This window comes from Homo sapiens, chromosome 1 (genome assembly GCF_000001405.40).
Source record: "Homo sapiens chromosome 1, GRCh38.p14 Primary Assembly".
NCBI classification, from domain to species: Eukaryota; Metazoa; Chordata; class Mammalia; order Primates; family Hominidae; genus Homo; species Homo sapiens.
Genome location: NC_000001.11, coordinates 157,024,977 through 157,052,200, shown reverse-complemented (window position 1 = coordinate 157,052,200; position 27,224 = coordinate 157,024,977). Strand labels below are relative to the sequence as shown.

Genomic DNA, 27,224 nt, shown 5'->3' with positions numbered 1-27,224 from the left:
GTAAGTAATCAGAAATTGAAATGTGAAAGATGCCATTCAGCAATAAATAAAAGCAACAACACAGATGAATCTGAAAATAATTATGCTGAGTACAAGTCATTAAAAAAGATACATACTATATGATTTCATTTATATAAAATTCTAGAAGATGGAAGCTAATCTATAGAAACAAAAAGTATATCCGTGATTGCCTGGGGACCAGAATAGGGAAGGGTGTCCAGTGGGAAGGGTTGGGAAGAAATAATCAGAAAGAAGCAACAGTAAACTCTTCAGCATAATGTTCACTATCTTGATTGTGCTGACAGTTTCATGTGTGTGTGTGTCAAAACTCACCAAATTATACGTTTTAAATATGTGTAATTTATTGCATGTCAATAAATTTCTTTTAACTTTTAAAAGGATATTTTTCAGTTTTGTTTGTTCGTTTTGTTTTTGAGACAGGGTCTCACTGTGTCACTCAGGTGGGAGTGCAGTGCCATGATCATAGCCCACTGCTGCCTTGATCTCCTGAGCTTAAGCGATCCTCCCGGCCTCAGCCTCCAGAGTAGCTGGAACTACAGGTATGCACCATCACACTCAGCTAATCTTTTTGATTTTTAGTGGAGATGAGGTCTTTCTATGTAGCCCAGGCTGGTCTCAAACTCCGGAACTCAAGCAATCCTCCTGTCTTGACCTCACAATATTTTTCAGTTTTAAAAGCAGGATTTGGGCGGTTTTTTATTATCTTCCCCTTGGCATCTCACCTTTTTTGTTTCTCACATTTGATCCTGGGAACTTTGTCTTATTTGGAAGAAACACACACACACAACACATCCAACTTCCCAAAATATTAGCCTTCAGTCTAAAATTGGTTCTCTTTCACACATTTTTTTCTTTACAATTTATCTTGGCACCTTCTCTGTTATTCAATTTGTCTCAGCTACTTGGAGTATGATGGGAGAGCCTGGTTTCTAAGGTAACCACAGACAGGAAGGTAGCAAGCTGGGGACGCTGAAGGGCACACCTGGAAGGTGACCCTGCAAACAATGCAGACCTCTCACTGTGAGTAAAGGTGAGAAGCTCCTTCTCCAATAAATTCCCTGAGATCCTCAAGAGAGATGAGGGCCAAATCTCTGGGGGAAAAAACTCAAGGGACATTGAGAGGGAAGGCAAAGAACTAAGAGAAAAATTGCTGGTCCACTGCCCCATGGGAAAAAGAAGTCTCTGGGGGGTTGAGGAGATAAACCAATGGACTCTGCTTCTAGCTCCACCCTCCCCAGTTTCTCCTCAAAAAGCTCTGCACCTCTCCCATCTTTCTGAGAAGGTTCTGCCAAATTCATTGTTCTTTGGTTTTATCACTTTCCCCCCGGGGCCTGGCATGGTGCCTGTGACAAGGAGACAGCACAGGTAATAAAAGGAAAGCCAACCACAGACCCTGGAGCCAGACTGCCTGGGTTCCAGCTCTCTGACTCTGGGCAAGTTATTCTCCCTCTCTGGGCCTCTGTTTCCCCATCTGAAAATAAGGTTGATATTATAATAGTACCTACTTCAAAAGGTTGCTGAGAAAATCGAGTAGTTAATTCTTGTAGTTTGCTTGGAACAGTATTTACATAGCAAGCACTATATATGTTTTGGGTATGATTATTACCTGATATTAAAATTTTATTGGGAATTCAACAGGTTAAATGAACATAATATTCTGAGTGACAATGAAATGACATCTGTAACAGAGATTTTAGGACTGGTTGTTCTGGCTACCCAGAAGTATTCTAGAGAAATCAAAATCAGCTAATGAAAAAACCACAGAATTTTCTCACCCTTAGGAGTAAGCAGTATCTTAATTAAGCCTCTCACATCATCTTCCCAACTGATAAAGGTTTAAGAGGAGTGAAAGATCGTCAATGAAACAATGGCACTATGTCTCCAGTGGTGATTTTAATTTGCCAGGTCTGTCCCTTAACAGCACCCTAGAAGGAGAATGACAGTAACCTGGAGTTCATCTCTTTAAAAGAAACACCAGTCAGGGATGGAGATGTCTGCTCATGGATGAGAAGTTGCTTCTCTAGAATTCACATCGTGAACCATTCAAGGTTTTTCATCACTGCTCTCCGTCAGCTATTCAATCAAGCATTGAGTTTCTAGAATCTCTCCCAGAAATAAAAGCTGACCATACCCACCTACCCACCTTTTTCTTTGCTTCTCACTACTTAAAGATAATCAGGTATGAATTCTAGCCTCAATCTATCAATTAATGGGATTTCATGCAGATCACCTAAAACTTCTCTGTGCCATAGTTTCCTTAACCTTAATGTAAAGACATAACAACTAGTGCCCTACCTATTCCCCAGGATGTTGGGCAGAGAAAAGGATTCATCTATTGATAGAGTTCTGTGGGAAAAAAGTTCAAAGGACTATGTTCATTTAAGGCAGAGGTGTCTAATCTTTTGGCTTCCCTGGGCCACACTGGAAGAAGAATTGTCTTGGGCCACAAGTAAAATACACTAACACTAACGATAGCTAATGAGCTTTTAAAAAATCTCATAATGTTTTAAGAAAGTTTATGAATTTGTGTTGGGCTGCATTCCAAGTTGTCCTCGGCCACATGTGGCCTGCAGGCCCCAGGTTGGACAAGGTTGTTTTAAGGTAACGCTCCCTAAGATTTATCCTGATTTTCCTGCCCAGCACTCTATAGCTTACAGAGCCCAGGCTTGTTCATATTAAATCCTTACAAACTGCAGATGGCAGTTCACAAAGTTATCTAGTTCTCCGGACTCCTAGTCTAGTCTAGCTCTTTCCATTGATCACCAGCTGCCTCCAGATTCCTACAACCCAGTCTGTCTAGGACACAATCTAATCTATTTTGTTTTTTAACCTGAGACTTGCAGTTTACTTAAATGGCCAACTAACTTCAGGGAACTCTATCTTACTAAAGCCACCCTCATAATCTTCAAAGTGGAGTGTTCAAGGAGATGCTTGAGGAAAATACTTAAGAATGCACTCATGGCCGAGGCGGGTGGATCACGAGGTCAGGAGATCGAGACCATCATGGCTAACACAGTGAAACCCCATCTCTACTAAAAATACAAAAAATTAGCCGGGCGTGGTGGCGGGCGCCTGTAGTCCCAGCTACTCGGGAGGCTGAGGCAAGAGAATGGTGTGAACCTGGGAGGCGGAGCTTGCAGTGAGCCAAGATTGTGCCACTGCACTCCAGTCTCGGCGACAGAGCGAGACTCCGTCTCAAAAAAAAAAAAAAAAAAAAAAAAAGAATGCACTCATAATAGTATTTAATTATAGCAAAAATAATTAGGTTTTACTAACACTAATGACATGGCATTCTCACTCAGTCACTATGTCAGAAGTCATCTGTCACACACAGTATATGAGGAGGTTCCAAGAACCAGAGGTAACATCACCATTGACGTTCATTTTCTTCATGATGTACGCCACCCACCAGACAAAAACAAGCCTGTTAACTGCTACAAACTTTACAATTCTTTGTAATGACAGAGAATGACCATGAAAATCTTTGCTGTGCAGATTAACAATCTCCTGGGGAAAGCCTAAAATGAAATACTGAACATGGAGGAGATGCACAGTTTTATTTCAGTGTTCTATGATGAGAAATGGCTGTCAAGAGTATGCTACCTAGCACTTACTTGCAAAAACAAAAACAAACAACAAAAACACCGCTTAATCTGTCCCTTCAAGCTGTCCCTTCAAGGTTAAGATGACAGTCTATCTACGAGCGAGGAAGTCACTGCTTTTCTAAAGAAACACATACTTTAGGAAAAAGTATTTTGAAGACGGATGACTGGAAATGGTTCCAATATTGTGATTTTTTTAATTACCAAAAACAATGGTTTCACCTATCAAAACCTTTGCACACTGAAAAATTAGGAAACAGAATTTGAAAACCTATTTTTTAAAGTTAAATGAAATTTCTTAATGGCTGGAACCCATTTGTTAAGAATATAAAAATGTAACACCTTCCAATCATTCAAGAAGGATTGACTTAAGATATAAATTTACTAGTTGAATTTCAATTAGAAGTCTTTGCATTGTTGATGAATGGGATTGGAAAATAAGTATCATGATTTAATAAATGCAATCAAGGGCATACTTCTTCTGTTTGAATCTACCTATCTTTGGCAAGCATCTTTTCCAGTTATGACAGCAATTAACTTTCACCAAAAAGCATGATTTAAAAAATGTTCATTTTTAAATTTCAACCTTTTAATATTTCTACACTAGGCAATGTTGTATAAGATATGTAATAAAATATATGTAAATACTTGCTTTAAAAATATTACATATATTAAGAACACATTATCATTATTATTATCATTTTGAGATGGAGTTTCACTCGTCACCCAGGCTGGTGTGCAGTGGCGCAATCTTGGCTGATTGCAACCTCTGCCTCCCGGGTTCAAGCGATTCTCCTGCCTCAACCTCCGGAGTAGCTAGGATTACAGGCGCTCCCCACCATACCCAGCTAATTTTTTGTATTTTTAGTAGAGACGGGGTTTCACCATGTTGGCCAGGCTGGTCTCGAACTTCTGACTTGAGGTGATCCACTCGCCTCGGTCTCCCAAAGTGCTGGGATTACAGGCGTGAGCCACCGCACCTGGCCAAGAAAACATTATTTTAAAATGTGTGGCAACCAGTGGTCTGTCACCACAGAGCAGTGTCCACATTTGAGAGCATCATTTTTGCGGGTAGTATGGGAAAGAAAGACACAATTAAGTCAGCAACAATCTAGACTGTGCTTCAAATGCTGGGCAGATCACCTGTTTTGGGGAGTTCTGGCCTAGGGGTTGGTGGAGACAGGGTGAAGGAAGCAGGTTCTTTTATTTGCCAACCTATACCTGATATACATTAAAGGGAAAGTTCCTGGTTCATAGTAGGTCTTCAACTGATGCTTATTCGTTTCTTTTTCCTCTTGCAATTTGCATATCTACCACTTCTAACACTGGTGAGGTCACTCCAGAGCTCACGAATGTGTATAGATAATTTACATATACATATCCACCCCCTCCCAGAACAATCCAGGTAGTGTGAAAGGAGAGAACTTATGCAAACACCCCACTGCCTGCAGAGTATTTTACAATGGCATTTACCTAGGCAAGAAGGCAAAGTCCACTCCCCAATCCTAGTGAGAGTTTTTTTATTTTAATAATTTTTTAAAAAAAATTTTATTATTATTAGTTTTTTGAGACGGAGTCTCGCTCTGTTGCCCAGACTGGAGTGCAGTGGCGCAATCTCGGCTCACTGCAAGCTCCGCCTCCCGGGTTCAAGCGATTCTCGTGCCCTAGCCTACCGAGTAGCTGGGATTACAGGCACGCGCCACCACGTACGGCTAGTTTTGTATTTTTAGTAGAGGGGGGGGGTTTCACCATGTTGGCCCAGGATGGTCTCGAACTCCTGACCTCAGGCCCCGCCTCGGCCTTAATGATTTTTAATCATAACGCTCGGCACCTTCTGACAAATGTCACGTTACTTGTAAAGATTTAGAAACTGTGATTCTATGAGAGGGGGTTATGAAAATAGAATTGCTCTGGAAAGGCTCTTCCATAGAGTTCAAAGACACTTCACACAGCCTGCTATTAAGATGCCCAACCCAACCCGAGAGGAAACAGCGAAGGGTCTTCCCCCTAAGTCGGTGGTATTAGAAGTGGGAAGGACCACAGAAACGGGAGGAAACAGTTAAAAGAACTGACACCACGAAGGAGGCCGCAACAAATGTTTGAAAAATAAGATCAGAAGAGAGGTGGAGAGAGGGTGAGCCGCAGCTGCGGGCGCCGGGGTAATGCCGGTGGACGCAAAGAGGTAAACCTGCACCCGTGGGCAGGGGCACGGGGCGCGGGCACGGTGGCTGGGCGGGCAGGGGGTAGGAAACAAAGGTCGGCTCCCGAGCAGAAGTCAATAAAAGGGGGAAAAGCAGCCGAGGAAAAGCGGCGAAAAGGCGGCAGGGGTGGCGGTGGCGGTGGCGGCGGCGGGGACGGCGCGCGGTGCCTGGCGGGGTCAGGGCCGGGGTCGCCCGCGGGCCGGGCCGGGGATCCGGCTGAGATGGGAACCCGCTAGGCCGCGCCGAGGGGCAGGGCCGGCGACTGAGGGGCCGCAGAGGGGACCGGCCGAGGAGCGACGGCAAAGGGTTGTGGGGGGCAGGGCGCGCAGGGAGGCCGGGACAGGGGCGGGCCGGTCGGCGGGAGTCGCGGCCGCGGGAACCGAGGCAGGGAAAGGCGGTCAGCTTCCCGCCCCCGCCCCCGGCCGCCGCGGCGTGAGGGGAAAGGCCGGCGGGCGGCGGGCAGCGCAGCGAGGAGGAGGAGCCTGCGGCCCCGCCCCGCGGGAGCGAGGGAAGGAGAAAGGCTCGCAGGGAAGGAGGGAGGGAAGGGGGGCGGCCGGCCGGGCCTGCGCCCGAGCGAGCGGCGAACCGAGGGGGAAGGGGCCCGGAAGGAGGCGAGCGCGGCCGCGACGCCGGCAGTCGGACGCCCGCTCGTGCCGGCCTGCCGCAGCCGCCGCAGCCTTCCCTGTGCGCCGAGCCTGGCGTCCCGAGCGGCCGCGAAGGCCGGAACACGGCGGTCGGGCGCGGGGCGAGCGGCGCCGGGAGCCCGAGGCCCGGCCGGGCGTCCTGCGCGAGGCACTGCGGGCTCCTGCCTGCGAGATTAGGCGAGGGGCGGAAAGGGAGGCAAGGAGAGGCCGAGAGGAGACAGGCGATCGGATTTTCCAGGAGTCTGGTGTGGAAGAAAAACCCACCTCGAACTCAAATCCACAATAATAATCCGAACGAATAATAAGGGAGCCGTCTTTCTGGCCGGGCGAGAGAGAGGGAGAGAGAAGGGGGAACGGGAGGAAGCGAAATCTCCGTTTCATGGAGGCTGAGGCAAGAGAAAATTTCGGAGCCTGGATGTGGAGGAGCCCAACAGCAGAACTAACTCAGGAAATTGTCTTTCAGAAAAAGGCCGAACGTAGGCTGGGTCTGAGAATCAGGCTGGGGTAGGTGGAGGAACCTGCAAGTTTAAAGGAAAAAGAAAAGGAGAGAATATTTTCAGAGATTATCTCTGGTTTGTTATCATTACTACCATCTTAAAGGTAAAAAGCATTGCATTTCAGGTGTTCTTTGATTTTTATTTTATTTTTTTTTTTGGTGCAATTGGCTCATTTAAGAATTTCAAAACATTTAATGTAAAAGCTTTTTTTTTTTTAAGGAAGTCCATAAATTTTGGTTCCCAGGGTTGCACTGGACTTGGAAGGAGTGCTGTTGTGTACATACTATTGTATGGTTTTATTTATTATTTTACTGTACAAATCAGCCGAAAGAATTTTTCCAAGTGCCATTTCGGATTTATTAATCCTTTTTTTTTTCCTTTCCTCAAAGATATTTGCTGTTGTCATATTAAGCATTGGAGACTAGAAAATTACTTTCCCCCTTTGAGCTAGAGGGTCTCTTGCCAACAGAAGGACAGCTGAGAAAGCTGGATTTAAAGGATGGTTTTATCTGTACTTTGCAGTTAACAGTGATATTTTGAAGGCACATTTTTCTGTGATTCATTTTTTTTTGGCCATAGTGCTAACCTTGAAGAGATTCGTGGCTGGGTTTTTGGTTTCTGAGAAGGTCGTAGTTTTTCCTCTTTTCCTTTTTTTTTCTTTTTTCTTTTCTTTTCTTTTTTTTTAAAGCGGGGGAGGGGAAGAGGGGCTGAGAAAGGAAATCATGTTCACTGGTAGAAGTAGAGTGGAGCATCAGTTACCAGGGTCCTGAGAGCTGGAGGAGAAAGGATTCTATCTTCAAGTTGGGAGGCCCTCCTCTCACCTTGCTCAAAAATTGCAAGCGATTCAATCCTGATCAAGACACCAAAGCTACAGGATTCTGGAACCGTGGAGACACCGAGAAACCATGAGTGTAAGGTTACCCCAGAGTATAGACAGGTAGGTTTGCTAATAATTTGATTTTTCAACATTGACTAAAGGAAAGACTGGGAGGGGTGGTGTTGCATTTTAATAAATGGTTGAAAATAGGGGTCTGGGTGGGCTATGGGAATTGGTGGGCTAGGAGCATTAGTCTCTGGGGACTGTCAGCCTATGTGGTTATGTGCAAAAACATAGCTCTTGATTCAGCGTCTTTTGAATATAAGCAATAAACAGTGAAGCCAGGAGAGGGAAAGGAGGAGGATGTGCTTCCAGTGGCTTTTGACTTTTGCCAGGGTAGAGGCTGAATTTGAGTCCACCCAACTTGCTAGTCTCAGGTGGGGGCAAGCCAGTCTTGTGAGCTCCTAGGGTTGCACTAGGGGGACTGGCTTTAGGTGTTGGAGCTGCTGGGAGAAGGGCCCTGGCAGAGGCGTGGGCCTCCACCAGGCTGGTTGGTATGGAATGGTGGGGCTTGGTGACGGGGTGGATCCCATTTCTAGAAATGAAGAGGATGTTCTTGGCCTGAATGATGGGACAGAAACATCCTTTGCACCCATGCAAGTCTGGATTTTTACCAGTAGCTGACATGGTCCCAAAATGCATAGATCACATTAGAATTTCCTCTCCTCCAAGCTTAGAGTTTGAATTGAGACCTGCCAACCGGCTGATGCTCTAGGTTTAATCTTCCAAGCTGTTCTTAATAAGCTTGACTCTGCAAAATGGGCCTTCCCTCTGCCTGGAGCCAGAAGAAATTGTTTTGGGCTCGTAGGCCTGCTGGGCAGCAGCACTGGCCCTCAGAGTCTGAACACATGACACCCCTTGCCCCAAGAGTCTGCCCAGCCACCTCTATCACTGGTAATGTTACTGTGTGGTTGCAATTCTTACCTCCAAATGATTGGTACAACTTTGTAAGGTGTCTGCCTTTTCCTTCCCTCCCCTACCCCTCCTCAACGCTTCTCCCCATGAGAACCTTGCTGTGGGGGGTGTGTTTTGTGGGCACTGCACACATCCTAACTGGATAGATGGGTGGTTGAAGGACTGAACAAGCAAATGAAAGGACTGGGCCTGGAAAAAAATATTATTGGAGAGATAGGGAAGAATATTTGCAAGGGAGCAATTGTTCCCTCCATGCCCAGTCCACCTTCGGTTATCCATGCTAATAATAATTTCCTTTTGGTTGTGGAATGTGGCCTAAAATGCATATAATCTCTCTCTCTCAAGCACTAATCTCTGTATTGCCTCAGAGTCCCATTTAGATTAGTTCAGCAGTCCCTAGATGGGAACTGACTTGGCAGTGGAGAAGAGGAGGCAGACAGCCACAAAGGATGTACGGCCAGTTCAGACCTCCTTCCTCCTTTCTGTTGGCCTCTCTGCAGTTTGACCCTTGGAAAGGGAGAACTGAGGTGTGTCAAGGTGAGGAATTGGAATGGTTTACATGGCTGCCCTTCTTCCCTTTTCATCCTCTTGGAGTTTGAGAATTAGTGCACTTGCCTTTTTAAGATTTGGATGGTGAACTCTTTCTGGTAAATGCAAGGATTTGAGAAGATGGGAACCCAAGTTTTGGGGGCGTGCAAGAAGGAGGAGGCGGTGAGCCTTCCTGGGTTGATGTGAGACACTCCTGGGGGTTTGGATATCCTCATAGATAAAAATCTCAGGATTTGCCCAGCACATTACAGTTTCCTAAGTGCTTTCGTAGAACATATCTCATTTGAATCTCACAGTGGTTCTGTGTGAGGTAGACAGAAGCATCAGAGGTTATTATTCATGTTTCACAGAAGGGGAAACTGAGGCTCAGAGAGGCTACCTGGCTTGCCCAGTGCCATCTTGCCTGGCTAGTGGCAGAATCTGGACTCAAAGACTCAAACACAGGTCTTCTGAGTCTGAATCTGTAGCTCTTTCATTGCCCCATCATGTCTAACTAGGCTTCTGTACTGGTCCTGTAGAATGTGTGGGGCACCGTTTTCTCCTTTCTCTTTGGTAGTAGGGTAAAGTGCCCGTCAGCAGTCAAGGTCTTCCCTTCTACTTTTCTGTCTTGGGGCTCCTACCTTGGGGGTTCAGTCTTGGGGCTCATACCTGTAAGTCCTATAGTTAAAGCACTATTTTCTCTTGTAAGATAGTGCAGCTTTGCAGGGTAAGGGTATTCCTCACCTCCACCCTGCCTGATTCTCTTCCCCATTAAGAGTGGTAGGACTCAGATCCCCTTCAGACATCCCCAGCTAGCTGCACTGAATCTTACTCCCTTAACTGTAGGCTTATTCAATTGTAACTTTGGGCAACATCAGCCTCAAGACTCTATGGATTTTAAATAATTTACAGATTTAAATCACACTGAAAGGAATAATACGCTGCGGATTATGGAGTCTAGTATTCTTTCAGTTTATCAGTTTGCTGTGTAGAGAGCCTAGTGTAAGGTGCTATAGGAGAGTTTTAGAAAATTAAGGTGTACAGTACTTGCTCACAGAGAGAGCATGCAACTGGGGGACTGGGAAACACGTAAGACTCTTGAAGACCACATAAAGCAACACCAGACTGTAAGCCCCTCACAAGCAGGGACAGTTTGGTTTGCCTGTATGAAATCCTGTGTGCCTAGCTTAGTGTCTTGCATGAGGTGAGTACTCAAGAAATGTTTGACAAATGAATGTTAGAGTGAATGAACAGATCAGCAAGTACAAATTATTTCATTGCGGGTTGTTTCAACATTCACGTGTTAATTTCAAATGTAGTCAAATAAGGTCAATTAGAGAAGGTTTCCTAGGTAATGTGTATTTTCTAGAAAATAAATGACATAATAAAGGACTATGTATTTGGAAAGAGATTGTAGCTGAGAGTAAGAAAATTTTGGAATATTTACTTGGCAGTCTTTCATCTCCTGTAGCACCCTGTTCAAGAGTGACTCCTGGGTCCATAGAAAGCATAAAGTATTTGCAACTATTCTTTATCTTTCAGTGTTAATCAGTTGTTACTGAAAGATGGGCTAAAGTGTAGCTGTTCATGTCCCTTTCAGTTTTTGTCCATGGGCAACTTACTGCCCATTAATATATATTCCTTTCAAGAGTTTCTAAAAATGTGTTTGCTATTGCAAACAGAGATAATGATACTAAATTATTTTTACAGGAGTGGTCATGAGTTTTGCTAAGCCATCTATATCTGTTAGCCTGGTTCCCCCATGGCAAATGTTTTTGAGATGGACAGGAGGGTTAGGGGTTTGCATCCATGAAACATCTTTCCTCTGCCCAAAGTTAGTTCATGTGAGGATCAAACCAAAGTACTTTAAGCCAAGAGTTTGTGGTTTGAGTCCTGGCTTTCCCCTTAACTATGTGACCTTGGGGAAGTCACATGCCTCCTCTGGCTTCCTCATGTAAAGCAGTAGTAGTTCATTTCTATAAAGTACAATCCAGTTCTCAAACATTTTTATATGGTGTGTCATTTGAGGATTATAATGTTTGTTTCATCTCTCTCACAAGCCTATTGAAAGGAGCAAATCAAACGAGATAATGTATTTCAAATTGTTTTCTAAACTGTAAACTCTATATAAATTATAGATGGTAAATTCACAGATTTGATTTAGCTTCGTGCACAACTTTCTGAGCTAAGTATCCCAAAACAAAACAAGGTGACTGAAATCTTTATATCATTTTGAAGAATTTAAGCAGAGTGAACTGGCTTTATTGTTGTAGAAGTGCATGGGGTCAGGAGGAAGGAGTATTTTTCCAATAGATAGGGTACTAGAAGAATGTGAGAAGAGAAGGGTTACTGAATCTCCTTCCCAGGAACTCTGATGAATGAGAGAGACTTCATCTACCTTGGCTCACCTTAAATGTCTGTTAGTGATGGGGATAGAAAGGATTTGTTCTGTGATCTCCAGCCATTCCTTGTCTTAAAAGCGTATGACTTTCCTAATTCAAAATAAATCTAGACCCAGCAACTGTTCTCTGTCAGGGGTCTCTTCGCACCTTGGCTTCTGGTCTTTATTGACTCCTGGGACCAAGAAGTCCCCAGACATTTAGCTGAGTTTCTACCTAGATTAGAAGGTTGGCCTCCCAGAATGGAGACAGGGATCCAGAGCTACGTATGATAAGTCCCGGAAATGCTGAGTCTTTTCCAAAATGTACCCTTGTTCCCATCTAGGGGTGTGAGATGAGAGACACAATGGATTTGCAGCTGAAACATTTGGCAATTAATCACCATTATGAGAAGGAGCAGACTAAGCTTAACTTCAGATACTCAAAAACATTTCTGAAAGAGTGCCCTTTTATTAATGTATTTGTTTAGCTTTTTTAATAGACAAGAAATAAGAAAAATTAAATGACAATACGAGTTCATCAAAAATAAAAAGATTTTGTGAACAGCACATAGCTAATCTCCTAGTTAGTATAAAGGTAAAGGAGTTCTGGAAGCTCACAGCCTCTGTGGAATGGAGTTTAGAAACTCTAGTTTGTATAGTGTTTCTTGCTGCTTTAATGTTCTGATAATCTGATGTTTGTGAAAAGGCTTTGTTAACTGTTGAGTTCTATAAACGTAAGAGGAGTTATTTTAATCTATATTGACTGAATCTGTTTCACCTCTTCATAGTAGCATTGCCTTTAAAAATTCATTTTTATTGGTTTATTATTTTTTAAGCTTAACTCAAAGATATATCACGTGGCTTGGAAACTCTTTTTGCTGTGGATTGTGGTGTTCCTTCTTTTGTCAATCACTATATTGATAAAAGACCCAAGCATACACCTGCTAGTGGCATGCAAGATCACTCCTTTGCCCCATGGGGTAAACCGTACTGAAGAAGTTGCTGATCCTGGTCTCAAAAAGAAAAAAGTATAACTTCATAAAAAGTCATGTTAGATCTTTTGTGAAAGGAGGTTTGGAGTTCTGAGGAAAGAACACAACATCTGAGTTAGTAGACGTGGATGATGGAGCCAGCTTTGTTAGCAGCTGGGTGAATGACCTTGCAAAGGTGCTTACCTGCCCTCGACCTCAGTTTGCTTATTTGGAAAAATGAGGGAATTAGGCTAGCCAGCCTCTAAGATTTGATTCCTTTTAGCTATTACGTTCTTTCAGCCTCTGAAACCAGAATGCTTTGTGTCCTTTCAGTGGGCCAAATGGTTTTTCAGAAATCATTGTCTGGCTTTCCTGAAAATCAGTGAAAATGAAAGCTTGAAAAGAACAGAGAACAAAGCTGCCTGATCAAATGGGAGAGAAGATGGAAGTACAGGGACATGGAAACATGGGGAGGAACTGAGAAATCCATGGCCCCTAATAGAATTGGAATAGGATTTGGAAGGTGGTTTTGTTTTTTGTTTTTTGGGACAGGGTCTCACTCTGTCGCCCAGGCTGGAGTGCAGTGGCATGATCATGGCTCACTGCAGCCTTGACCTCCCCAGGCTCAGGTGGTCCTCCCACTTCAGCCTCCTGAGTAGCTGGCATTACAGGCATGTGCCACCACACCTGGCTAATTTTTGTAGATATGAGGTTCACCATGTTGCCCAGAGTGGTCTCAAACTCCTGAACTCAAGCAATCTGCCCACCTCGGCCTCCCAAAGTCCCAGGATTATGGGTGCAAGCCACCACGCCAGGCCTGGAAGGTGTTCTTAAGGTCTGGAAGAATACCCCAATTTATTGTACTAAAACAATTGGACAGATTTCAGGAAAAAATCACAAAAATCTGGCAGGACTTCAAGGGATCCTCTTGCCCTTTACTCTGGACTCCAAATAGGGTGTCTCTTAACCTAGTAAAGACAGGTTGAAGGCCTCTCCCATTTTCAGTGATCTCTGGAGGATGGTTCCATTAGTTCAACAATTAGAAATCCCTTTGGATACGAAACTTCCTCTGCCACAATTTAAAACCATTTTATTGTCTTTCTATTGTGATTTCAGCGTAGGCCTTAAAGTCACTAGTATCCCTCTATTACCATTGTTGACTTCCTTAAGATTTTCCTCCTCATTTTAAAGAATAGCAAACTAAGACATGAATATGTGAGAAAGGGGCTTTGAAAAGTTAGAGTGAAGTAATTTCAGAGTCTTGCTTTCCAGACCCTGCTCCTTTCCAGTATTTGGGAGCAGCCACTACAAAGTGGTGTGATGGGATCTGTAGTCATCAGTCACAGCCTGGCCTCAAATCATGTAGGGAACCAATCTAGCAGCCCTCCTGGTGATGACCTGTGATCTGTGGCGCTTGACGGTTGGTTGGACTTGAAATATTTATCAGATGGCTCAGTGCAGTTCTCAGTGTTCTGAGAGATAGTACAGGAGAACATAGAGCTTACATTCTTTTTTTTTTTTTTTTTTTTTTTTTTGAGACAGTCTTGCTCTGTCACCCAGGCTGGAGTGCAGTGGCGTGATCTCGGCTCACTGCAACCTCCACCTCCTGGGTTCAAGCGATTCTCTGCCTCAGCCTCCCAAGTAGTTGGGATTACAGACACCTGCCACCACACCCGGTATACTTTTTGTATTTTTAGTAGAGACGGGGGTTTCACCATGTTGGCCAGACTGGTCTCGAACTCCTGACCTCAAGTAAACCGCCCACTTCAGCCTCCCAAAGTGCTGGGATTACAGGCATGAGCCACCGTGCATGGCCTCAAGCCTAAATGCTTGTTGGGAAATGTTATTAACAAAGCAACACAAAATAAAAAGATGGTACATAATTGCTGAATCGTTATGTACACCAAAAGGTACATTTAGAGAAGAGTGCAAGGTTGGTGCTAATAAGAATAGTCAAAGGCAGAGTAGTTAGGAATTATTCAGGTCGAAGAAAGAGAAGAGGCCATTTCAGACTAGAGGAGCAACACGAGCAAGGTTCTGTCTGGGGTGGCACCAACATGGTGTGGTCTCCAAGTGTTAAGATTATTGTAGAGCAGAGAGAAATTAGATTGATAAGATGGGTAGGGTAGGGAGAATGAAGGGATTCAGACTTTATGTGGTAGTAGAAAGGGAGCCGGGGAAGGTTTATGTATTATATGGTGATAAACATAGTGTTTAAAGAGAGAATTCTGATATTAATATATAGAGCAGAAGAGAGCTTGGGGTTAGGAAGCCTAGGAGTTTTTGTAGCAATCTTAGGAAAAGATAACGAGCTTCTGAATCAGAACGGTTATGGTGGGGACAAAGAGGAGTGGCAGGATTCCCAAGACGTTTTGGTAGCAGAATTAACCAGTATTTTAAGACTGAATCAAATTTATTTATTTATTTATTTATTTTGAGACAGAGTTTTGCTCTTGTTACGCAGGCTACAGTGCCATGGCACGATCTTGGCTCACTGCAACCCCTGCCTCCCAGGTTCAAGCAATTCTCATGCCTCAGCCTCCTGAGTAGCTGGGATTACAGGTGCCTGATCCCATGCCTGGCTAAGTTTTTATATTTTTTAGTAGAGACGGGGTTTCACCATGTTGGCCTGGCTAGTCTCAAACTCCTGATCTCAGGTGATCCGCCCGCCTCCACCTCCCACAGTGCTGGGATTACAGGTGTAAGCCACCGTGCACTGCCCTGAATCAAATTTTATTCCCAAATTTATGAGACTGGTGGACTAGGAGAAGGGTAGTGCTATTGATAGACTAGGATCTTCAGTAGAAGTCATTTTGTCTGCCATTGATACCTAGCAATTTACTGAATACAGTGGATACTTAACCTTCCTTAGACCCTTAGGTTAGGCCATTTCTACCAAATAGTTTTAGAGCTCTTCAATACAGCTTTTTAAGAGAAGCAGGAGGCTGGGCGTGGTGGCTCACGCCTGTAATCCCAGCACTTTGGGAGGCCGAGGTGGGTGGATTACCTGAGGTGAGGCGTTTGAGACCAGCCTGGCCAACATGGTGAAACCCCGTCTCTACTAAAGATACAAAAATTAGCCTGATGTGTTGGTGCACGCCTGTAGTCCCAGCTACTTGGGAGGCTGAAGCAGGAGAATCACTTGAACCCGGGAGACAGAGGTTGCAGGGAGCTGAGATCGCACCCCTGCACTCCAGCCTGGGTGACAGAGCAAGACTCTGCCTCAAAAAAACAAACAAAAAACAAACAAAAAAAAGTGAGTAGTCAGTTCTGGGAGATCCCTTAGGAAGTTGGGTCATGGTTTGAGGAGATTAGCATGTATTTGATGGATCCTGATTAATCAGCCATATATATATATGTATATATATTCATATATGTATTCATATATGTATTCATATATATATTCATATATGTATTCATATATTCATATATATATTTTCATATATATATTCATATATATTCATATATGTATTTTCATATATATATTCATATAGATTCATATATATATTCCTATATAGATTCATATATATATTCCTATATATAGATTCATATATATATTCCTATATATAGATTCATATATATATATTCCTATATATAGATTCATATATATATATTCCTATATATAGATTCATATATATATATTCCTATATATAGATTCATATATATATATTCCTATATATATTCCTATATATATTCCTATATATATTCCTAAATATATACATATATATATTCCATATATATATTCCTATATATATATTCCTGTATATATATTCCTATATATATATATTCCTGTATATATATATATTCCCACATAGCCACCCAAACTCTGGGGCTGGAGGGCCATCTATGTGGAAATCATTCTAGTTGACTAATGTAGAGAATATAGGACTTTAAGTGAGCCCCAGCTGAGTGACTAACTAGCTATGTGATCAGGATAATTTGTACCAGCCTGACCAACATGGAGAAACCCCGTCTCTACTAAAAATACAAAATTAGCCGCACGTGGTGGTGCATTCCTGTAATCCCAGCTACTCGGGAGGCTGAGGCAGGAGAATGGCTTGAACCCAGGAGGCAGAGGTTGCGGTGAGCCGAGATTGCGCCATTGCTCTCCAGCCTGGGCAACAAGAGCGAAACTCCATCTCAAAAAAGAAAAAAAAAAAAAAGCATTTTGTGAATTCCATGGTGCCAAACATACGGTGAGTGTTGTTAGGGCATTTGGTTTGGCAGGGACCCCAGATTGTCCTAAACTCTCCTCAGCTGCCACTAGAATACCCATGCTTGAATTACCCTCAGTCCTGTGCTGATTCTCAACTAAGGACAGACAGGCATGGCTGTGGGACCATAGTGAACAAACACAGGACAGTAGTTAAAAATGAGGGGCCTAAGCGCTCATCCCAAAGCAGATCCTTTGCTAGAAACCCACAATGTCTTTCCTTCCTAGCCCAAGCTCCCCAGCTTGGGATTCATGACTTCTTTCTTCAGTTTAGCCCACATCTCAATAATCGTAGGTCTCATTACTGTACCCTGTCGCCCTGCTTCGGGTAGACCAGCCTCATTCCTGGGCCCACATCCCTCTTTGCACACCTTTATATCAGTGTTCTCTGTCTTCTCCCAACTCCATTACTCTTATTTCCTTCAAGGAAGTCTTTGCTGGTTAATATCACCAAACCCTACACCTTTATATTATTCAGCATTCCTTTTGCACATACATACAGCAATTCAACTTTATCTTATTTGCTTGTATAAAATAATTTGTGTAAAAGTTCTAGCAGAATATCTAGCACGTGGTAGACTGTTATGTTGGTTCTTTTATATGGTTCTTGTGTTTTATCCTGTTCCTAAGGGTTCAAGAGCAGTGTCTCCTCATTGTTCTGGGTTGTCTTCTTTGGCCCAGCTTAGTTCTCTTTAGACACGGTATACTCCCTATGTGCTCTTTCCTGACTCGAACACAGCTCATTCTTGACACTGCTGATTCATTCCATGCCTAACCAAGGGATTTTAAGAAAGCAAGCTCTAAACACTCCTGCCAGGAACTAAGACCAAAATTCCTCTCGTTCTCATTGGGTGCTAGGTCTTTGGTACTTGGTATTTCTTGCAGGGACAGAGCAGCCTTGTTGGGGTTGCCTGCCTTCAGCCTCTCAGAGTTCTGGGGATTTCCCCATGGCGGCTTGATTTCCGGGCTGCCTTTCCCTGCAGGAGTCTGATGGGCACAAGGCCTACCCTGCCATTGTCCCGCCTGCCCCAGGCTGGCCCCATTCATTTCCCAGAGCAGGGCCTTCAGAAACTTCCCCCCAAGAGACTGCTGCTGCAGAGAAAGGCCACTGTTGTTCTGGGGGGAGGTGGCTGGAGAGAGTGTAGTAAATAGCTATGTGAATGGGACCTTGTGTGCAGCTAGAACCACAGACCCTCTTCCCTTCAGAGCCCCAGGGAGAGGGGAAAAATACCACTAGGATTTCAGTGTCTTCACAGGAACAGGGTTTCAGGTTTGGGAAACATTCATGCCATCCCTCAAATAAGAAGCTTGGTCTGTTTAACAAATCTTCACTTATCGTAGTGCTAGGCATCAAGGATTCAACCAGAATATGCTGCATACCTTGCCCTTAAGGAGCTTATGGTTTTGTGGAGGGAGACAGAAGTAAGTATGATAGCACCCAAACTTACTCCTGTGATAACAGTTGAAGCACTGGGAGAGACACCTAAAGAAGGTTTCCTGGTGGAGGAAAGGACCTTTACATTGAGGCCAAAAAATAAAAGCTAGGCTGGAGTAAGGGAAAGTCTAGGCAGAGGGAACAGCAGGTACAGAAGCCTCAAGCAAGAAAGAGCATGGTGGTGTGAGAATTGCAAGTGGCTGTGATCTGTAGTGAGACCATAGAACCATTAATTAAATGAAACTGGAGAAAAGGAAAATGAGTAGGAGCCAAGGCCTGAGGACCGTGTAATGCTCTTAGAGGTTTTGGACTTGATCCTGAGGGCAGTGGAAGATCATTGTGAGATTTTAAATAGAGGGTGACATGATCAGATATGCTTTCACAAAAGCAAGATCACCATGGCTACAGTGCAGACATGGGATTAAACAAGTGAAAGGGTGGAGAGAGGGAAGATGGGTTAGGAGACCTTTGTAGTAACCTTGACAAGAGATGAATGTGGTCTCTGCTACGGAAGTGACTTCAGAGAGGGAGAAAAATGAGAGATCAGAGGTTACGAAGTTGATTATATGGGGGTATGCGGAGGCATGAAGGAGAGTGTGGGGCAAGGATGATACCCTTACCCTTCTCTTGGGCTACTGCATAGTACTATTCAATAAAAAAAAAGGAACTCTGGAGGAAGAACATAAGATGGTTGAGGGAGAGAGGAGGAGAGGAGTCAGCATCCCTTTGGACATGTTGTGTTTGAAGTGCCTGTGGGAGATCCAAGGAAAGATGTTCAGCAGACAACTGGAGCTTGGGCTGGAGGTCAGGAGGGGATAGAGAATCACATTAGCAGGTCATCAACACCTAGACGGAGCAGCAGAAGCATAAGACTGTCCAGGGGCAGGGTGTAGAGAGAGCAAAGGGCTGTGCACAGAACCCTGAGAGGCATACATTTAAAAGGGAGGTGAAGGAAGATGAGAGGCATACATTTAAAAGGGAGGTGCAGAAGAGACTGGCAGGGAGTGACAGAAGCAACCAGGGCAGTGAGGAACCTCCAAAGTAAAGAGAGGGAGTGATTAACAATGTCAAGTTCTCCTAAGAGGTCATGGACGAAAAGGACAGAGAAATGCCTGGACTTAGTAACTGGGAGGATGTTCATGGCCTCCGTGCGTGGTTTCTGGGCAGTAGCAAGGGAAGGAGCCAGTTTCTAGTGGGTCCAAGTGAGAATAGGAGGTGAAGAAATGGTGATGGACATAGTCTAGTCAATTCTTTCATGAAGTTTCATCAGAAAGGAAAAAAAAAATGTCGCTCCTGGTCCTGTCAGGTAGGACTTTAATTTTTTCAAGGTAGGGATGTATTGCCCTAGGTCAGAGGTTCTCAATCTTTAGAATCCTTTAGAATCAGCTGGAGAGCTTGTTAAAATACAGGTCTGTGGGCCCCACCCAAAACGTTCTGACTCAGTGTGTTTGAGCTGAGTTTGGGGCCTGAGGATCTGCATTGTTACAACTTCCCAGATGATGCCAATACTGGCATTCTGTGCTTCCAGAGCCACTGCCTTATGACATCTGTGCTCTTAACGAACTCTTTTTATGTTCTCAGAACAGAACTTTTGTTCACTGTCTATTTCAAAACTTGTCAGTGGCTCTACTCTGCTGGGAATTGCTTCGGTGGCTGGTGAATACCTTGGAGCAGACTGGTCACTTTGTAAGCTTAACGTAAGCTCCCCATCTGGGAAACCTTGCTTACCCCATTTCTGTCTACCTCTGACATAGGTGCAAATAAATCCTGTCTACTAGAGATCTTTAAGGATGGTGGGCTTACAGGATTTTTTGTAATTTCAAAATTAAAGCCCAGAAGAGTCATACATAAGAGAAATGTCAAAGCTTATAGTAAATGTCAAAATCAAATATATATAATTTCAATAATTCAGTTTTGGATTAAGTGAGAGAATAAATTTCCTAAAATGGTTTCTCAAACTGATCCCAGGTTCTGAATTTTCCAGTGGTAAGGATCCTTGGAATGTCATTGTTGCCTCTTAGAATGTTGTTAGAGCTCTTAACACGTGGTTACTGCACTCAAAGAGCTTAGGGCTCCAGAACATGCTTCCACAGAGTGATCGGTTGTTCTACCCTTGCAGGAGTCCACACCACCACTATGGCTTCTCTGCTCAAGGGGTGGGAGTAGGGATCCCATGCAGTTCTGGGGTTCTGTTCTAGGGCCTTTGCCACTCCCCTTGAAATTGGGTTCAGGGACCACACTACTGTGGTTTCTGAGAGCCCCCTGACCTTCGAGCCTCTTCCTCCTCTCCTGCTTTTCTTTTTGCCCTGTGCATTAGTGGGCCGTTTCTCATCATCTCCAGGTTCTCCAGACCAATGGCTCTGAGTCTGAGATGCAGATGTGGGTCCGAGGATAGTGGTAGGTACATGACATGGCCTGGCAATTCTTGTGCCATAGGGTTTCCTAAATAACACTTCAGGCCTTAGGATCATTTAATTAAGTAATGGGAAACCCAGAAGAAATCCTAGTTCTCTTAGCTCAGCCTAGTTCAGGGCTAATAGCTACACTTCTGCTGGAACTCATGCCTGGAGACACATCCTTTTACTAATCCTGAACTTGAGGCCTGGCAGGTTGAGAAAGAACTGGGCAAGATACGGGGGGAGAGACCACTCCCTTGTTAAGATCCTCCTTCCCATTTGTTGGTGTGGCCTATGGGAATTTTAAAATTCATTCAGCACATTTACTGAATACATATTAAATGTTAGGCAGCATTCCGGGCACTGGGGATACACTGGAACTTTCACTCTGCTGGAGCAAGAGAGACAACAAGCAAGTGTTTAAAATTATTATTATTGTGATCCATCATATAAATGAATTTTATAAGACCTGGGTTCATAACTGCTGTGGGAGAGGCAGGAGGAAAGATGTGACAGGATTAAAGGAGGGATTAGAGTCAAGAAGAGAAGTCAGTTTTTAAAGTGGGCCAGGGCGGGGGCGGGGGCATAATTCATGGCAAGAGAAGAATGGAAGCTTGAGGACCCAGATAAGAGTGCAGTGATGATGAGGCTTCTTGGTATTTCTGCACTACAAGATGTATTTGGCAAAGTGTCTTGTCCATTATCTCATTGAGGTGGTCCAGGGCAAGGATTTTCATTCCCATTTTATAGATAGGGAAGCATGCTCAGGGAGGCTTTAGTAACTTGCTTAAGGTCCAGAAACTAAGAAGTAATGGAGTTGGGATTTTTTTTTTTATTCTGTGCCTACTGAGCCCTAACCTAGTGCTGTTCCTCTTTTCCTATACCCCTGTCAAGGCTTGGTGGTAAAAATGTGTAATTCTTAAGGGAGCCAGACATCAGATTTGCCTGACAGTAGTGAAAGACAGTGAAATTTGCCTGACTAGGAAAGAGATAGGTAAATCAGGAGTCAAGTCCCCCAAGTTTTTCTGTCTCTTCCCAATACAATTTCCTTGTCCATGGCCCCTTTAGGACCTGAGGTTTGCATTCACTGTCTAAGAAGAGGATAAGTCCCTCTTCTTTGCCTCCTCATTGGTTAATGGTGGGGAGAGTGGCACGCTGGGGCTGGTAATGTTTCAGTGAGGCTGGGAAAGATGCAATCTCCTCAAAAGTGGCTCAGCACTCTGCCACTTAGCAGTGCAGCATCTTTTAAGCTACTCAGGGGCCCTATCTTTGTGTACACTATGGTGCCTGGGACTGTGTAGTAAATGGATGCTCGGTAAAGTTTTATTGAAAAACAGGTACAATTTTTTTAGTTAACAGCTTTATTGAGATATACAATACCATAAAATCTACTGCTTTAGAGTGTACAGTTCAGTGATTTTTAGTATATTCACAGAGTTGTGCAACCATCATCACTGTCTAATTTTAGGACATTTTAATCACCCCCAAAGAAACCTTGGCCCATTAGCAGTCACTCCCCATTGCCCCCTTCCCCTAACCCCTGAAAACCACTAATCTACTTTTTTCTCTATGGTTTTGCCTATTCTGGACATTTCATGTAGATGTAATAACACAATATGTGGTTTGTTGTGTCTGGCTTCCTTCACTTAGCATGATATTTTAAAGATTTAACCATGTTTTAGTGTGTATAAGTACTTCATTCTTTTTATGGTTGAATAATATTCCACTGTATGGATAGACTACTTTTTGTTTATCCATTTATCAGTTCATGGACATTTAGGTTTTTTCCACTTTTTGGCTATTGTGGATAATACTGCTATTAACATTTGTGTGCAGGTTTTTGTGTGGACATATGTGTTCATTTCTCTTGGGTGTATACCTAGGAGGGGAATTGCTGATCATATGGGAACTCTGGGGAACTGCCAAACTGCCTTCCAAAGTGGTTGCACAGCCGGGCACAGTGGCTCACGCCTGTAATCCCAGTGCTTTGGGAGGCCGAGGCAGGTGCATCACCTGAGGTCAGGAGTTCAAGACCAGCCTAACCAACATGGTGAAACCCCATCTCTACTAAAAATACAAAAATTAGCTGGGCATGGTGGTAGGTGCCTGTAGTCCCAGCTACTCAGGAGGCTGAGAGGCAGGAGAATTGCTTGAACTCAGGAGCTGGAGGTTGTAGTGAGCTGAGATTGCGCCATTGTACTCTAGCCTGGGCAACAGAGCAAGACTCTGTCTCAAAAACAACAACAACAACAACAACAAAAACCACCAAAGTGGTTGCACCATTTTACATTTCCACCAGCAATCTGTGAGGGCCCAGTTTTTTCATATCTTTCTTTTTTTTTTTTTTTTTTTTGAGACAGGGTCTCACTTCAGTTGCCTAGGCTGGAGTGCAATGGCACAATCTTGACTTACTGCTGCCTTGACCTCCCCAGCTCAGGTGACCATCCCACCTTAGCCTCCTGAGTAGCCAGGACTACAGGTGCATGCCACCACGCCTGGCTAGTTTTTTGTATTTTTGGTAGAGATGGGGTTTTACCATTTTACCCAGCTGGTCTCGAACTCCTGGACTCAAGCACTCCACCCACTGCAGCCTGCCAAAGTGCTGGGATTACAGGCATGAGCCACCACGCCCAGCCAGTTTCTCCATATCTTTACCAACACTTTCTTTTTGATTATAGCTAGGATTGTGGGTGTGAAGTGGTATCTCACGGTGGTTTGATTTGCATTTCCTTAATGCTTAAAGATGCCAAGCATCTTTTTATGTTGATTATTTGCATATTTTCTTTGGAGAAATGTTTACTCAAATCCTTTGCCCATTTAAAAATTGGGGTTATTTGTGCTTTTATTGTTGAGGAATGAATAGAATTTTAAGCTAAGTCATTTAACCTCTCTTGGCCTCAGTTTTATCAATTGTAAAGTGGGAAAGTTGGATTTGATCTCTGAGATCGATTCAAATATAGTATTATTTGATCTTTGGTAATTTGGTCACTCTTTTAGGGCTCTACTCGCCATCATGTTGCAGTCCAGTCTGGTAATTAGGGGTATGACTTTTATGTTGAATCAACCTAGGTTTCCTGTTACTTAACCTTTCTACGCCTGTTTTTCCCTTTGGAACATGAGAAAAAAAGTATTTCTTTCATGAGGTTCCTCTGAAGATTAAATAAAAATAATGCATGTGAAGTGCTTAGCAAAATACCTGATGTAGTTAAGAATTCAATAAATGTCAGCTATTATTATTATATCATTACTTCATGTCTTATAGTCTCCAATTAACAAGCCAGCTCCCCATCCCCTGGATGTGACTTGCTTGTCCTGATCTTGGAGCCTTTGCACAGATCAGTATTGTTCAGTTTATCCATTGCTCCCAAACAGGGGCTTAACGTAATTCTAATCATTTATTTTGCTCAGAATTCTGGCGGTTGATTGGGCTGAGCCAAGCAGTTGTTTTCACATGAGGTCTCTCATGCAGCTGTAGTCATATAGGGATAGGGCTGGGCTTCCAGAGACTTCTTCACTCTGGCACCTTTGTTGGAAGGGCTCAAACAGCTGGGGCTTGAAACAGCTAGAGCTCTTCAGGGATCTCTCTTTCTCTTTCCCACCACCCTTTCTCTGGAATCTCTAGATTATCTTTCTACATGGCGACCTCAGAGTAGCTGACTTCTTAAAAGGAAGATGAAGGCTCTCAGAGCAAGCATCGCAAGACATTTGCAGAGGTGATGTCTTGATGAGCTAGCCTTGGGGGTCTGTTAGTTGAGGCAGTCACAAAGGCCAACCCAGGATCAGGGGAGAAGACATAGACTCTACCTCCTGATGGGCAGTGGCAAGGCTGTGAAAGAGCATCAGGGATGGGAACTACTGTTGCAGTTACTTTTGGAAAATTCATTTGCCACAATTATTTAACTCCTTTATTGTTAATTTTTGTCCCTCCTCTCCTTCAAATACCAGTTCAAAACTAACTTACTAGTGAGGTCTTACCTTATTAACTCTCCTTGATGTGGGTTTCTTCTTTCTCCTATAGCTCTCACCATGTAGGTCCCTTTTGATTTTTATATGACATCCAATTATCTTTTCTTGTGCCTCTGTATCTGTCAATACTCCCACAGTACCCACAACCAGACAGCACTCTTTTTTTTGTGTGTGAGACAGGGTCTCACTCTGTCACCCAGACTGGAGTGCAGTGGCGTGATCTTGATCTTGGCTCACTGCAGCCTGGATTTCCTGGGTTCAAGTTATCCTCCCACATCCTGAGTAGCTGGGACTACAGGCATGTGCCACCGCACTCGGCTAATTTTTGTATGTTTTGTAGAGACAGGGTTTTGCCAAGTTGCCCAGGCTGGTCTCAAGTGATCCTAGGCTCAAGCGATCCTCCTGCCTTGGCCTCCTAAAGTGCTGGGATTACAGGTGTGAGCCACTGCAGCCAGCCTAGACAGTACTCTTTAAGTAATGTTGACCAGCTACCTGAAAGAGTTTACTAAAAATCTCCAATTAGGGTTTTTCCAATAACTTTAATCAGCTAGTGATCAAATGTTGACTGGTTCTCTCGGCATTAAAAATTCTCACACTTTTTCAGACTGACCCCCAACTCTGGTCCATGCTGCACTTTAGGGAAGGCCAAGTTCTCCACCCGTTTGTTTTCTCACATGTTATCACATCTAGGCATAAAGATTGATAGACACTGATAGACAGTGGGTCAGGATAGATCCATAATAACAGTTAGCATTTGTTCAGCACTTTACTGATTTTGGAAAGTGCTTTAACAACAGGGATTCTGAAACATAGCTGTTACAGTTATTATTCTCCTTAATAGTGAGAAAGCTGAGGCTCACGGGAGTTGGTACTTGAAATCACATAGCATTGAACCTATGCTCTGACCCTAAATCCTGGACTTCCTCCCCTTGCTTGAGGAAGGCCTCTGGCTTGGCCCCACTGGATCTCGGAAATTGCCTTCTACCTTCTAGTCTTTGTTGAGGGTACTGAACTTTGATGAAATCTCTTCTACAGTTCTAGCCCTACCTTCTCTATTATAATCATCTGGGTGATCTGGGACTCAGAGCTTTGTTTTCCTCACATGGTCTTGCCTCTGCTTCTTTGATTATTTACCCTGGAGATTGTGTTGCTTGGGCGCCCTATGAGCTTGGTTACTTTGAAAAAATGCACTCCCATTAGGGGAAATTGTGTGTGTGTTCTAGGAGGATGGTCTGAGAAATAGTGCTTAATAAAATAGGAAGCACAGAATGGGCAAAAGGACAGGAAGGTAGCTACAGAAGGTAGAGAAAAGAATCTCCCAAAGTGGTAACTTTGAAGTTCTCTTTTCTTCAGTTGAGGAGAGAACAGGCAGATGCAAAACTGATGCTGTCTCTGCCTCTGACTCTGCTGGTATCTGCCGCTGACTGCAGAATGATACTTACGTCATCAGGGACTCTTCACTGAGAATTGGCTTCATTTTATTTTCTGTCTTGATGATCAAATATTTGGTGAATGTAGTTAGGGTGCTGTTGCAAGAACCAGGACATAAACCAGGCAAAGGATAAGAATCCACTTAATACAATAATCCTTGCAGTACCAAGCATTATACAGTGTTTTTATTCTTCAAAGCAGTTTCCATCTATTGTTATACCTACCCTCATCACAGACTTGTAAGGAAGAACCTGGGCATGAAGAAGGAGCCATCTCCCTCCAAGTGACTTAGTTTCCCTTTTCTCCTCTCCTTCCTTCTGCCTGGGTTCCCATAGGACACACTTTTTTGACAGATCTTTCCAGCTTTTGAAATTGCCCCCTTCTGATATAACTTAGCTCCTTGATCTATCCTCCCTTGAATAGAGTGCCTTCCCTCCCTGGTAGTAATTAACAGGGGAGCCCGCTCATCTGTGTGGCTGCCCAGACTGTCATCATCAATCTCACGGAGAGCCCTTTATATGAAAGCTACAAGATTAGAAAATAAATTGGCTAGGGCAGAAAGATTACCAACTCAGGCTAGGAACCCGCATGTTCAGGAAGATGTGGTGGGGAGGGGTGCTGAGGAGGGAAGAATGAGGTAACTAGCTGGCAGCACAGATCCTCCTGGAATCCAAGGTCCTTTTTCCCTCTCTACCAGATTTATGCCCTGTCTCATTTCAGCTACCATTGTCTCAGTCAGCATCTACACCTACTTTGTATTGTGTGCTTATTTATCTTCGACATGCATCGGGGAAGATAATGGAGACAAGTAGTACTTGCCTTTAGGGAACCTCAGGCCTGTTGGAAAGGCACCTGCAAAAGACCTAAGAACCTGGAAGCAGCAGAGTACATCACTTGAAAGGAAGAGTAAAGGCACCACAGCCCACAGCAGGAGTGCTTACTGTCTGTACCATCAGTTTGGTAGAGATAACAAATCTCCCCTTCTCTCTGATTTTACTTGCAAGTCTTATTTGGCAATTAATTGACTTCAGCAAGAGATGTTCATTGATCCTAAGTTGATGTGCCTGCACTGTGCTAGACAGAGGTTGTGGGGATTTAATTTATAAGAATATACTTAACATGAGGTATGTGTTCAAAAAATAGGAAA

General features: G+C 43.8%; 1 protein-coding gene and 1 long non-coding RNA gene across 25 annotated transcripts in view, besides 1 other annotated feature; both read left to right on the top strand.

Moving 5' to 3' along the window:
• Positions 1 to 517: 517 nt before the first annotated feature.
• Positions 518 to 2,101, top strand: LOC102724222 (uncharacterized). The gene is made up of 3 exons (XR_426851.4): positions 518 to 560; positions 920 to 1,051; positions 1,943 to 2,101. It is a non-coding gene; the product is annotated as an uncharacterized LOC102724222 (long non-coding RNA).
• A 3,196-nt stretch (positions 2,102 to 5,297) lies between these two features.
• Positions 5,298 to 27,224, top strand: part of ARHGEF11 (Rho guanine nucleotide exchange factor 11) — a 112,064-nt gene continuing 90,137 nt past the window's right edge. For 20 of the 24 annotated variants that reach the window (XM_047435306.1, NM_014784.4, XM_017002923.3 and 17 more), the window contains exon 1: positions 6,459 to 7,902. In XM_047435306.1, coding sequence (XP_047291262.1) covers positions 7,871 to 7,902 — 32 coding nt within the window. In that variant the 5' untranslated portion in view covers positions 6,459 to 7,870. Of the gene's footprint in view, positions 5,806 to 6,458; positions 7,903 to 9,141; positions 9,295 to 27,224 lie in introns of those variants that run through there. The other 4 variants (XM_047435301.1, XM_047435294.1, NM_001377418.1 and 1 more) reach the window with 2 other exon arrangements.
• Positions 6,249 to 6,548: a silencer, noted in NCBI's record as "silent region_1443". NCBI's record gives its function as "represses an Ori minimal core promoter by ATAC-STARR-seq in GM12878 lymphoblastoid cells {active_cell/tissue: GM12878}" and the evidence as "EXISTENCE:reporter gene assay evidence [ECO:0000049][PMID:35858748]".